General features: G+C 42.0%; 1 protein-coding gene across 8 annotated transcripts in view, besides 2 other annotated features; it reads right to left on the bottom strand.

The window, feature by feature from the left end:
- GRAMD1B (GRAM domain containing 1B) overlaps positions 1-14,436 on the bottom strand; it is a 269,346-nt gene that overhangs the window by 247,899 nt on the left and 7,011 nt on the right. The gene's annotated exons all lie outside the window — the stretch shown is intronic.
- Positions 2,234-2,528: a silencer, noted in NCBI's record as "tiled region #995; HepG2 Repressive non-DNase unmatched - State 23:Low, and K562 Repressive non-DNase unmatched - State 24:Quies". NCBI's record gives its function as "represses a minimal TATA promoter and a strong SV40 promoter by Sharpr-MPRA in HepG2 and K562 cells {active_cell/tissue: HepG2 | K562}" and the evidence as "EXISTENCE:reporter gene assay evidence [ECO:0000049][PMID:27701403]".
- Positions 8,233-8,292: an enhancer, noted in NCBI's record as "active region_5678". NCBI's record gives its function as "activates an Ori minimal core promoter by ATAC-STARR-seq in GM12878 lymphoblastoid cells {active_cell/tissue: GM12878}" and the evidence as "EXISTENCE:reporter gene assay evidence [ECO:0000049][PMID:35858748]".

Genomic DNA, 14,436 nt, shown 5'->3' with positions numbered 1-14,436 from the left:
TAAAAGACAGATGATAACAAGTGCTGACGAGGAGATGGAGAAGTTAGAACCCGCATATATATGCAATATACTTACACTGAATGTAAAATAGTGCAGTCCTTTGGAAAATAGTCTGGCGGTCACTCAAAGTGTTTAACATACAGTTACTATATGACCCAGTAATTTCACTTCCAGGTGTATATCCCAGAGAAATGAAAACATGTCCACACAAAAATGTGTGCACTAATATTCACAGGAGCATTACTCATAATAGCTGAAAAGTAAAAACAACCCAAATATCTATGAGCCGATGGTTGGATAAATAAAATGTGATATTAACCATACAATGAAATATTATTCGGTAATAAACAGGAATGAAGTGATGATAAATGCTAAAACATGGATGAACTTTGTAAACATTAAGTGAAAGAACACAGAAGGCCAGAATTAAAGCTAGAAGATAGAAGTTTGTTTTTTTTTTAAGATATCTCAACAAAAAGCAGTGTCTCTCTTCACAGCCTGAGCTTGCCCTACAATCCAATGGCCTGCCTTGTCAGGTAGGCATCATCCGTCAACGAAAGCATTCAAACTGAAAGTCTTCCTGGGATGTTGCAGATGCCATTTGAATAATTAGATGAGGTTGGACCACATGTCTTATTGGGTCCCGTTCAAATCAGAGAGACTGTGAATCTGTGGTTCTTTTCTTCTCTCCCTTCTAACCTATGCTTCCTGCTGCAGTAAGCGAGAATTTGGGAGACATTCCTAAGGTATAACTCATTATTTTTACCTCATTCCATCCCTCTAACTTTAACCCCTGATTTAACTTTAACTTCTTCCTTATCTCCATCTTCCCTTGTTCCTCTTTAGACTGACACTGTACAACTCCACATGCCCTGCCAACTCCCATCAAAACTGGGGTATGTAAGAAGCCTCAAAAAAGAAAAGAATAACAAGAGAAGACTGAACACAGGTGGCCTGTCACACCTGTTACATTTAGATGTTAAATCCTATTGCTCTTGTGCATGAGAAGACTCTAAGCAGAAAAATAATTTAAAAATTAATGAAAATAAAATAAATACTGTTGCTTGCTTGGTCTGGGATACATGCAGATGTTCACTGAACTGGCTGAACCAGATTCACATGAATTACCCTCAGAAGGGCCTACATATGCTGTAATCTTTCTGCATAACACTCAACCCTTGTAACATATTCAGTGGCTGTTTTCCCTGCTTCATTGGTTTTTCAAAGGCCGAACCATGACAGTTTTGGTCTCTGCTATATCCTTGGGGAGGCACTCAATAAATAGTAATCAAAGAATTTCTCCTACCATTTCCCCATACATTCCAGACTGCTTGAGATTATACTCATGAAAGTCCTGCTTAAAACTAAGCAAAAGACAACCTGATGAATTGGAGAGAAGTTTTGCAAATCATATATTTGATAAAAGCCTTAGACAGTGCACTGGACTTCAGAACTAGTAGGAATGTTAGAAAACACCTAGCACAACCCTTCCATTTGACAGACTGAGGGCCAGAGTCATGAAATATTCAGCTAGGGAGTAGCAGAGCTGGGAATTTAAACTAGTTGTTCTGGTTTCTGGGAGACAGATTGCCATAGGCAGTAAAAAAAATGCAGGCTTTGAAGTCAGATCAACCTGGGTGCCAATGCAGGTCTTCCTCTTACTAATTCCACGGTCTTGGTAAGTTAATCAATGTCTTCAAGCCTCAGCATCTTCAGAAGTAAGATAGCACCTTCGACTACCTCCCTGGTGCAGAGAAAACGCTTAATAAACAGTAGCTTTGATAACCATTACCAAGTCCAGTGTTCTGACCACTAGAACACATAGGTCCTTGGCTTTGTACCTGTGGACACAGAAATATACCTATGCTAACAGGGAAAAAAGGACAGAGTGTGCTGAGCACCTTTCCATACTCAGTCTAAAACACAAAGGAGCCACATAGAAGGTGGCAGAGCCACTGCCATACACACACATGACCACTTTTCAGCTGGAAGCGCATGGTGGTGGAAGGCGATCCATTTCATTTGAGTTTGAGATCTTTTGCAAGTCTTTTCTTTAGATGGCTAATCTTTCTCCTCAAGTTCCTAGTTCAGGGTCTTCCATTGGAAGAATAACAAATGGAGAGCCACTGGACCTTCTAAGTGTATATTATCTTCCAGCTCTTCTGAATGTTACTTGCAGGAAGAGGTCAGGGAGCACGTCTAGTTCAGAGATTTGTCCTCTTGGGTGCTCAATAAAAGCAAGCAACAGATAAACAGAGCAGGACAATAGCCACCCTTTCCCTTCCAGCCGGCCTCCTTGTCTCCCCATCTGCTGCTTTTGATATTCACCAGGCCTGGCGCTGGCTTCCTGTGCATCACAGACCCCTTCTCTTCCTTGGTGATGTTACTACTGAGTTATACTCTGGCGACTGCTCAACTCTGTTTCTCCTAAGGAACTTTCCTTTTTCCTGCACCCACCACGCATTTTGCTCTCTTTGCTCTGATGCTTTATCCACCCAGAACATCTCATCAAACATGAGAATGATCATTAAGTTCACATGAGTGAGATAAATTCCTGAATTAATTTGGTTGCTGATGTTTTTAAGCATTTATCTTTGGATTTTTATGCCAGCTACCATCTCAGTGCCAGGTGTACAGACAAGAAAGAGGAGATGCTCCCAAGATAAATCAATCTAAAGGAAATGCAATAATATTGTCTTATTGGATCTATTTTTTAGACTGTCAGAAGAATTCAGAAGCTGAGCAGAGGAATGTTTAAAGGGAGGTGTAATTTGTCAAAGTCAATACTTGTGTTCTTTTAGAGTAGTTCTTGGAGATTATTCAGGCAGGCGAAAATGGATGGGAGAGAGAAGGATACTGCTGATTAATACACGTAGAACTCTGTACTTTTTATGGGTTTAAGATTGGCAGAACTGAACCACAGAACTAATTTCACACCTGTTACTTTAGTTAACTAGCAGTTACTGAGGTTTCCAAAAGCCCATGGCAATTCTGAACTCAGCAACTACTTGGATCACAGAGTGGGCAAGAACAGCAACCCAGACAACCACCGTGGGAGGAAAAATTCAAATTCCAAGGACTTGGTCCCAGTTCTCCCACATCCCTTATCTGAGAACTTCCCTGTTCCTTGACCAGATGCCGGACAAAGGGGCAAGATTTGGGCAATTAAAAGCAAAAAAAGGAATCATGCCCATATTTGCAAATGAGAGATTGTCTTTGCGCTTAAGCTGGTTCTCCTTAGGGATAGATGGAACTAGAGTGATATTTATCTTGCTCCTGCCTATCAGGATTTCAATTCTCAAGTCTCTTGAATCCATGCTAAGATAGTTCCGATTGTCTGTATCAGAATTCAAAAGCCATACCTTAAAAGTAGGATGCCTGAAAACCTTCACTGACCCCATCTCCATTAAAATAGAGAACATTCAAAACAATTTATATTAACAACGGAGAAGAGGCAGTACACCTGGTTCCCGTAAACACTATGCATCAATGTTCATTTACTCAACACATTTTCATGAGTTCTAACTGTAAATAAAGCAGGATGCAAAACTGTACACACCATCTGATTAGAAGCATGTAAAAAAGGCATTATTTCCATGCTAAAAACTAGAAAAGATTAGAAACCTTAGTTATATTAAGAAGGTAGTACTATGGGTGATTGCCCATTTCTTTTAAACATTTTTCTAACACTGCTATATTGCTTTGATTTTTTTTTCAAGTTTAGAAATAAATCAGTAAGATTGATATACCAAAGCTGGTCTCTTTCCTTCTGACATATTGGCCAGGGAAGAAAGGTCAGAGCCAGAACATACTCCAGCCAAGTGTGCGTAACTGTGAAGTTAAGAGAAGAGGCTGCTGACCAAATGCCAATGCCCAACATGTTTGCATGAGGCAGGCCAGCCAGACAACTCTGGAAAAAAAAAAATCTACCTTTTCACCCTTCTCTCTTGTTCTTCCCCCAGAAACAACTTTAGATAGCAGGCGCTCAGTAAATATCTGAGGGCCAAATAGATGAGTACACGAAAACTTCTTTCCTGAATAACTGACTCTTCATCTACCCCATTCCCATCATTCTCCAACCTTCAACAACATGACATGCCTTGTACTTCCTCATCCTTAGGATTTGTTCACATCACCTCCCTGGTGTGAAATGTGTTTCTTATTTATTTTCCATCTATATAAACCTTGCCCAGTGTTCAAGGCCCAGTGTGACTCTCACCTTCTCCAAACTTCCTCTTTATTCATATAATATTTACTATGCTCCACATACTTGGCATCTAGTACATTGCTAGTTATCTTTTAAATGACTTCTTGGCCAATAACACTTAAAGCCATTTGGGGATGGAAAGTAACTTATGCTTTTTTGTACCCCAACCCCACAAATCTAATATAGCATCTTACAAAGAGGAGATGCCGGATAAACAGTTTCTGATTTCTTTGCTTGCTTGTCTCTCTCTCTTTTTTTTTTATTTAATAGAAACCAGATGTTGCTATGTTGCCCAGGCTGGTCTCAAACTCCTGGCCTCAAGGCATCCTTCTGCCTCAGCCTCCTGAGTAGCTGGGATTAACAGGTGTGAGCCACCACGCTGGTTGATTTATTTGTTTAATATGACATAGTTGTGTTAAAAGCTCGGGCTCTGAAATCAGACCTAGATTTGAACCCCAGATCTGCAAACCAGTAAAAATAACCTTAAGGAAGTCTTTTAGTCTCCCTAATCTTAGTTTCCTCCTCTCTAAAATTGGGAAATTAATAATACTCACTTATTAATGTTGTAAGTTAAGTGAGATCATGAAGATACTATCCTTAGCAAAGTGTTTGGCACATAGTAAAAGTTTCAATAAAAGATTTTTAGTAAAAAAATAAGTAAAAGATTGTTAGTGACGATGATGATAAGGATGGTAAAGATCATGTTACTTCCGATATGTTAATAGATCAGACCTGGATCAATGCCAAGGTCAAATGAACATGCTTTGTTGAAACTCTGTGACTACTTTGCTTTTTGTGACATTGGGGAAGACAGACGCCACACTGCCCCTGCCTCATGGCAACGCAGCACCAGAGTCTTAGATTATGTTTTAATATAGCTCATTCCTAGGATTGCTTCTCCTACATCTGTCACCGCATGACCCAAGCACTCAGCCCAGAGTGAAAGCTCATTAGCCCTACCCTGAAGTGAGCTAGAAATAAAAGCAGAGGGTCGCTGTCTATTGCTTTGCAACAATTTAACCAAATAGCAGACAAGTACACTAGGAGGCTGTTATCAAAATAAAACTCGAAGGCTATAATGCCTGTAGGGTCAGTGATCTCAAGGATGCCAAGGCTGTTTTTAACTTGCCCTTCCTGCATTAGACGTGAGTTAGGCTGCTCTCAGGCTTTTATTCCAAAGATAGTAAGTCTGTGGTTAGAAATCTCTGGACCTTAATGATACCCATGTTTGAGAGATGGCTCCTTGAAACTCTGGACTGTGGTTGCAGTTAAAAGTTCAACAGAGACAGGGTTTATTATGAGAGAGGAAGGGGGCTATAAGTAGTAATGTCTATTTTGCATTACCATTCTTTGTCTTCAAGACTCAACAGCAAAATGGCCTACCTCATAATACTAGGCTCAGTTTGACTGGGGCAGGGGAGAATGAAACAGATACAACACAAAAGTATTTGATGAGTGATTTAAGAACAGACAGAAACACTAATATAGATAACAGAGAAACAATCCACACTACAAACACATCATTTATAACATTTTGGAAGCAGTTAATAGCATTTGAACAGACCAGGAAAATAATCAAACCATAGGTACCATTGATATATTGAAACACCTACCGCATCTCACATTTCTCTACACGGCTAGCATGTCTGAGTAGCTAGCTACTCAGTAAAGCTATTAACATGGATGACTACATGGCTGTTAACTGATAGTTTATCCAGATGGGATTCTCCCTGGGGAAAGCAAAATTGGAGAGCCAAATAATTAGCAAATAGAAAACAATCCTCCAAAATGACCACACATGCTGTATAGCTAAACTAAGGGATCTCAAGCTCTAGCAAAGGAAGCCTATCTGATTTTGTTTAGGGTTTCACAGAATAATTCATTAACTCCTATTCTAGGGAGGCAGAGGGGTGACACTTTCTTAGAGGACTCCCTTAATTTTCTTACAGCAATTTAACTGGTTCCTATTCAATTTCTTGTTCATAGTCAAATAACCTTCTCCCACCTAAGTATGTAAGACATACATACACCTTGGAGATTTCCTTCTTTCAAAGAATGTTTTATCCTCTTCCACTATGCCTTTTCTGCAAAGTGACAAAAATCCCAGAGTTAGGGACATTTCCTTGGTCCCTGTTTCTGCATCAATAAACATCAAATCTACCAAACTGACTGACAAGGCCCTGAGCAGTGACTTGGGAGAACTTCTACCTTTTCTGAAAGGGAACGCCAGAGTTCTAATAGCACTGATTCAGTCTCCTCTTCTGGGCAGATCACAGAGAGTCTGTGCCATACCTTGGTAGATCAGAAGCCAGGTAACAGTTGACTGGCCATCAGAAAAACCAGTGCCCGTGCTATCTAAATCTCATCTACACCCCCACACCCTCCAGCTGTAAGACCAGGTAAACCTTACTGCTGCTCAACACAGTTTTAGCCTCTTTGTTGTATAACAGACCAGTGAAATTTTAGGGTAAAAAAAGCTCTCAATTATTATTATCATTATTTTATTTATTTATATATTTTTTTGAGACAGAGTCTCACTCTGTGGCCCAGGCTGGATTGCAGTGGCACGATCTCGGCTCACCACAACCTCTGCCTCCTGGACTTAAGCGATTCTCATGCCTCAGCCTCCTGAGGAGCTGGGATTACAGGTATGTGCCACCACACCTGGCTAATTTTTGTATTTTTGGTAGAGATGGTTTTCGCCATGTTGGCCAGGTTGGTCTTGATCTCCTGGCGTCAAGTGATCTACCCAACTCAGCCTTCCAAAGTGCTGGGATTACAGGCATGAGCCACTGCACCCAGCCAGAGAGCTCTCAATTATTAACACAAATCTCTGCCTGTTAACAGAGAGTGACATATTATAAATAATCAGGAGATTAATTTTTATTTGCTATTCATATGCATATGATATTAAAATGTGTGGTGGTAAAACAAAATTTACCTGCTCGAATTATTTCACCTTAAACACACACCCACCAGAAAACGAGGGAAGGAGGGGAGAGATTTGGTGGGTACTGATGAAAAACTTTACAAGATATTCTGCTTGTAAGGCCAATGGAGAACCAGAATACTTTACATGTTGCCCCACAAGCTGTCCCCTAAATGAGAGCACCATTCCACACCACCTCTGAGTCCCCTTCTCCAGCAACTAGAGGGTGGGGCTCCTCCCCAGAGAGCTGCAGAGCATTAAATTCTGTATCAGGAGATGGGGGTGCTAGTCCCAAACCTACTCCCAGACAGTTTTCTGAACCTGGATGAGTGATTTCCATTTTCTTGGTCTCTTTTTCTTCATCTGTAGAAGTTTAAATGAGATGAATCTAGGTTCCTAAATGGCCAGGAACATATAAAGGTTAAGCCATAAAGGGCAACTGAGATCCTAATTATTAGTATTTCTTATCTAGAATTCACCATAAAACCAAGTAACAACTGAATCATTGGGACACTCTAACAGATTGTTTTCTGTATAATCGTGTTTGACGTCTAAATTGAAGTGCTGGGTAATTACATTTAGTCTCCTACTGTAATAACAGTGGAAGAAATCAGAACCACCTGTAAGGCAGGATAACAGGTTGACAAAGAAAGGACATTTGAAAACCTTGCTTCAGTGCTCTGTAATCAAAGCAACAGGCAGATAAAACACAACAGAGATTTTTTTTTTCCCCTGATTTTTAAAGCTCTTTTTGGATGATGTCAGTTGTTCACAGATACCTAGAGACCTGTGTTCTTTTGGTATTTGTATGTAGAACAGAGACATGCAGCTCCACCAAACTGCAGATGTTAAAATGATCCAACACCTAGATACAGGGGGAGCTTGAGGCTGAGCCTGGGGTAAGGACAGAGAGTAAGGATAGACAAATCATGGAGAACTCTAGCAAGACAAGCCAGAAAGGGCCAGAGAGGCAGGGCTCTCACGTGCTGGTGCTCTTCCCTGCATGACAGAAAGATCCTTTGTCTGCCTCAGCAGGTTCATCCTATGCCTGGCACCTGGTGACAACACTTGTAAAAAAGCATGTGTCTGTGTGGTGAACCAACCCCACAGAATATGCATGATTGGATGAAAATGCAAACCATGATATTAATTGGCTGGAGTGGAGGTATGGGGAATGGCCTAGAAAATTCACTTCATGGGCCTAAAAGTTCATAAAGTGAGAGATAGGAACTGTCCTCTGGAAGAGACAAATTTATTGTAAGGCATTGTGACATAAAATAACTCAACCTTTAAAAAAAAATTCTGTGGTTTAAACCTTCAAAAGTCCAAGGTAGAAAAGGCTCACAATTATAGGTTTTAGAAGCTTTTCAAAACACCTATTAGCTGGGCTCTTTTCCTGTACATAATCATAAGACCTGGCAGACAGGCCGTGAGACCTATCTGATTCCAGAGAGGCCCACACTAACTAATCCAAGATGGTGGGGATTACCCAACCTGGATTTTTACAGCCTTTCTCAGTCACCCTCTCAACAATTCAACAGCTCCATATTTTGTTCATGTAAATAAGACCAGCGTCAGTTTAAAGTAGGTGGTCACTGACATGCATCCTGCTGAAGCCACGTTTTCTCCAGTGTCAGCCTAGAATCTTAAAGTGCCTCTGAGATCTGTCAAGATCTCAATCTGCAATCCATTGACATTTCTCATTCAATTCCTCCCTTAAATCTCTTCTTCTATCTCATCGTTCTCCCAGTTTCAGGCACCTTCTAGCTTTACTCTCCCCTGGGTCTCACCAGCATGCTCAGCGCCTTGTGATTCTGCCAGCCTTCCCAAAACATCTACCCAAAGAGGACCCCAACTCGCTGCTCATGGGGTATGGTGCAGATTGAGACGATCATGCCACATAGAGCATGCTTTCCAACTCCAACAGAACACTGTATGGAAATCTTTTCCTTTGTCCCCAGTCAATAATTTTGACTCTTCAAAAACGTTTCCATTCTTTCTGAACTCCCACCTCACTCCCTATTTCACTCTCAGAAGATGACTTCACCTTCTCTTCAGAGAGGAAATATAATTTATCTCTTGATAACTCTTGAAGGCGGGTGCAGTGGCTCACACCTGTAATCCCAGCACTTTCGGAGGCTGAGGTGGACGAATTGCTTGAGCTCAGGAGTTCGAGACCAGCCTGGGCAACATGAGACCCCTGTCTCTAGCAAAAATACAAAAACTTAGCCAGGTGTGGTGGCATGTGACTGTAGTCCCAGCTACTCAGGAGGCTGAGGTGGGATAATCACTTGAGCCTGGGAAGCAGAGACTACTGTGAGTCAAGATCGCACCACTGCACTCCAGCCTGGGCGACAGAGTGAGAATCTGTCTCAAAAAAAAAAAAAAAAAAAAAGAGATAACTTCTTTTTTTTTTTTAGATGGAGTCTCGCTCTGGCACCCAGGCTGGAGTGCAGTGGCGCAATCTCGGCTCAGTGCAACCTCCACCTCCTGGGTTCAAGCGATTCTCCCACCTCAGCCTCTCAAGTAGCTAGGACTTACAGGCATGCATCACCATCCCCAGCTAATTTTTGAACTTTTAGTAGAGACAGGGTTTCACCATGTTGGCCAGGCTGGTCTCGAACTCCTGACATCAAGTGATCTGCCTGCCTCAGCCCCCCAGTGTGCTAGAATCACAGGCATGAGCCATCATGCCCGGCCAAGAAGTTATCTCTTGAAGTGACTTCCAGGGGTCCTTCACATCTGCACTTCTGAAAGCATAACTCATCTTTGCTGTTTTCCCATTTTCTCCAAGAAAGGGGCATTCCTTCTCTCCCCTTATAGATTTTTTTTTTCTTTTTCCTTTTTTTGAGACAGGGTCTCACTGTTGCCCAGGCTGGAGTGCCCAGGCTGGAATGCAGTGGCGGGAACTCGGTTCATTGCAACCTCAGCCTCCCAGGCTCAAGGGATCATCCCACCTCAACCTCCTGAGTAGCTGGGAACACTGGCGCACACCAGCACACCCAGCTAATTTTTGTATTTTTAGTAGAGACGGGGTTTTGCCATGTTGCCCAGGCTGGTCACGAACTCCTGGCCTCAAGCAATCCACCCACCTCGGCCAACCAAATTGCTGGGATGGCAGGCATGAGCCACCGTGCCTGGCCACACTTTATAGGGTTTTAACAAAAATTAAATAAATTGATAAATGTAAAATACCTAGCCCCAGTGCTTGGCGGACCATGAATATTGGTTCCCTTTCATTCTTCCTTCTACAAATTTAATCCCTCCATTTCCTTTGTTTATTTGTTCTTATTTTTTGCTAGATTCTGTTACCTTCTGAGTTCTCAAGTTTCTCTTAGCTGTCTCTTCTTTCTATATTTGCAACCTCTCCCTATCTAGATATTTCTTATGTATTGATAAACATATTCAAGCGATTTCCTTTTTTTCTTTTTAGAGATGGGATCTTGCTCTGTCACCTAGGCTGGAGTGCAATGGTGTGATCATAGCTCACTGCAGCCTCAACCTCCTGGGCTCAAGTGATTCTCTCACTTCAGCCTCCCAAGTAGCTGAGACTGCAGGTGCATGCCACCATGCCTGGCTAACTTTTTGCATTTCTATTTTTGTAGATATGGGGTCTCACTTTGTTGCCCAGGCCAGTCTTAAACTCCCAGCCTCAAGTGACCCTCCTACCTTGGCTTCCCAAAGTGCTGGGATTACAGGTATGAGTCACTGCGCCCAGCCTGATTTCCCGCTTTTGAAAACTCATTTTTTTTCTTTCTTCCCCTGTAAGTTGTCATTCCATCTCCTTTTATTTCTTTCAAATATAAAGTGTAGGGAGCTCAAACTCTCAACTGCCTTCAAGTCCTAAACTCTGTACAATGTTTCTGTCTTGCTCCTATCCCATCTTCTTACCCTGGGACTTCATTGACACTATTTTTGCCAAGATAATGAATGAAACCCCAAATCTTCACTCCAATGGCCTCTTTCCAATCCTCATCCTGCTCAAATTTTGATTTCATTACCTTACTTTTCTTTTTTCTTTCTTTCTTTCTTTTTTTTTTTTTTTTTTTTTTTGAGACAGAGTCTCGCTGTGTCACCCAGGCTGGAGTACAGTGATGCGATCTCAGCTCACTGCAAGTTCCGCCTCCTTGGTTCAAACGATTCTCGTGCCTCAGCTTCCCAAGTAGCTGGGATTACAGGCACACACCACAACGTCCAGCTAATGTTTGTATTTTTTGTAGAGATGGGGTTTCACCATTTGGCCAGGCTGGTCTCAAACTCCTGGCCTCAAGCAATCAGCCCATCTCAGCCTCCTAAAGTGCTGGGATTACAGCTGTGAACCACTGTTCCAGCCTTAACTTATCTTTCAATCCTGACTTTTCAGTACATTTTATCTCGAGTTATGGCCATTGACCTAGTTCAGATAACATCAAGCTAGAATATTAGTGCAGTCTAGGGACCCTCCTCTTTCTTTCTTTTTTTTTTTTTTTTTTTTGTTTTAAGATGTAGTTTCGCACTGTCGCCCAGGCAGGAGTGCAATGGTGCAATCTCGGCTCACTGCAACCTCCACCTCCTGGGTTCAAATGATTCTCCTGCCTCAGCTTCCCAAGCAGCTGGGACCACAGGCATCCACCACCACGCCCAGCTAATTTTTGTATTTTTAGTAGAGACAGGGTCTCACCATGTTAGCCAGGCTGGTCTCAAACTCCTGACCTCGTGATCCACCTGCCTAGGCCTCCCAAAGTGCTGGGATTACAGGTGTGAGCCACCGTGCCCGGCCCTGGCTCCTCCTCTTTCTCCCCACAGCCTCCACCATCCACCTGCTACCGAATTTTGATGACTATTCTTTAACTCTCAGATCTGGATGATACTTTACAATCTTTCTTGCCAGAGTCCAAACTCCATCAGGTCTCTCCCGGACCACTCAGCAACCCCCTTCATGGCATCTGGACATAACTTTGGACTGTCCTTGTTTCTGTTCATCTTCCATACTGCTTCTAGAGTTATATTCCTAAAAAACTAATCTGTTCTTCTTACCCTCCTGCTAAAAAAAAAAAAGAAAAAAAAATGGTGTTGCCTCAGTTAACTACAAGCTGCATAACTGGACCTTCACAAGCAGGCTCCAACTCATCACGCCGGCCTCATTGCCTCTCTTACAGACGCCTTAGAGTCTGACTAAATGACTCTTTGCGAACACGTCAAGTACCTCACAACTCCATGTTTTTGCACATGCTATCCCATCTGCCTGAAATACAATTTCACCCTTCTCCGTCTGGATCACGCCTACTCACCTTTTAGAACCCAGCTCAAATATAACCTCTTCTGAAAAAGCCTTCTCAGATTCAACTGGGCTGTTCTGCTCACTGCTCTGGACTTGGCGTTCCTATGACACTTTGTTCTTACCTCTTCGTAGTCATTAACAAGGTGTCTGACTCTTCTGCTTTACGTTTATCTTCCTTCCTAGACCGTGAGCTATATGAAGAAAGAATTATGTCTTATTCAAGTCTGTATCCCCAAGGCGTACCTTGTTTCCAGTTTTGTTTTTGTTTTTGAGACAGGGTCTTGCTCTGTTGCCCAGGCTAGAGCACAGTGGCACAATCATGGGTCACTGCAACCTCAAACTCTTGGGCTAAAGTGATCCTCCCACCTCAGCCTCCCAAGTAGCTACGACTACAGACGCATGCCATCATGCCTGGCTAAGTTCTTTATTTTTGTAGAGAAAGGATCTCACTATGTTGCTCAGGGTGGTCTTAAAATCCTGATCTCAAGCGATCCTCCCACCTTAGCCTCCCAAATTGCTGGGATTACAGGTATAAGCCACCACACCTGGCCCATTGTTTCTTGTTTAACAAATGTTTGTTGTAATAATATAAAGTGATAATGTGGAAATAATGACAGAAATAAACAAGAACAGAATAATATTGGAGTAAGAACACATTACACCCTGTCTACAATTGGTAGAGAGAAGATACCCCAGGAGAAAAGAATAGAAGACAAGAGCACTTCACCAGTGCTCTGAAAAACCTAGATTTCAATCCATCAACGCACTTCTTTCCATTGCCCACAGAGGAATAAAATCCATAAAAAGTACAAATGTCTGTGTTCTTCTTTCTCCTATTTCATGTTTGTTTGTACCACCTTTCATCTTCTCTCAAGATCAATTGCCAAAACTTGATCACAGTCCTGTCATTTCAGTGCAGTTATACAACGTAGCCCAAAGGTTTGACACCTAAATTAAATCTGGCTGTTGCTCAGAGATATCAGGCTTCAGACAGAAAAGTCAAAACCCAGTACTAGCATTACACACCCAGGCCCATGGGGCATGCCGGTGTCCTGAGAATTATACTTTGGGAAAAAGAAAAGGAATAGATAAAATTATGTTTTAAACCTAATTTTATAAGTCCTCTAGCCTCATCACAGTTGGGCCAACACTCTAAAAAAATAGCCCTACTGTTCCTGCTAACTTGTTCCTGCTTTTCGACAAGCCAAAATATATCATTCAGCTTGGGTTGATCTAACTGCTAAATAAAGCCATCAGCACAGCCTTTTTACCTGGGTATGCACTTTCTCAGACAAATAGCAGGAAGCTCGTGCATGCAAAAGACAAGCCAGGACCAGAAATTAGCATTTTCTATTGATTGCTGCCAACTGAGTTCAAATAGAGGGAATGGCCCCAGCCAAGATGAAGAAAGACTTCAAAAAGCCAATTTATAGAGGCTTAAATCCTAAGAGATTTGCCTCTGCTTTCTTTTGAAAGTGGTGGTCCCCCTCAAATTCTCCTATAATTTATTTGCCTTATAGAAATTTATTTAAACACTGGTTCAGCTGGTGCAGGCTATGGGGCAGGAGTCACCTTTAAAGATAATCTACAAAAAAAAGGAGGGAGATCATAGTTACAAGGAGCAGGTATAATGCTAACTTTTATTCAGCATTTTCTCTGACTTAGATCACAAGAAAACTTGGCAGTGAGTAACATGTCAAAACCTAAAAGAAAGTCAGTAGGTCTCCAGAAAATTGATATAGGCTATTTCTCTGTTCTGAATTCCTTTAATTCAATTTGCACGGGTATCCATATTTTAGGGAATCCCCTTATATATCAACTGCAGCGAGATGCTTGTAGACCCCTACCTGCAGAGGTGCAGAACTAATGACAGATGATAGGAAAAGTTATGAGAAAAAGATGGCATTGAAAATGTAGGGTAGGCCAGGCATGGTGATCCATGCCTGTAATCCCAACACTTTGGGAGGCTAAGGTGGGTGGATCACCTGAGGTCAGGAGTTCGAGACCAGCCTGGCCAACATGGCGAAACCCCGTCTCTAC

This window comes from Homo sapiens, chromosome 11, assembly GCF_000001405.40.
Source record: "Homo sapiens chromosome 11, GRCh38.p14 Primary Assembly".
NCBI classification, from domain to species: domain Eukaryota; kingdom Metazoa; phylum Chordata; class Mammalia; order Primates; family Hominidae; genus Homo; species Homo sapiens.
The sequence above is the reverse complement of the archived record's forward strand: the minus strand, read 5'-3'. Positions and strand labels throughout refer to the sequence as shown.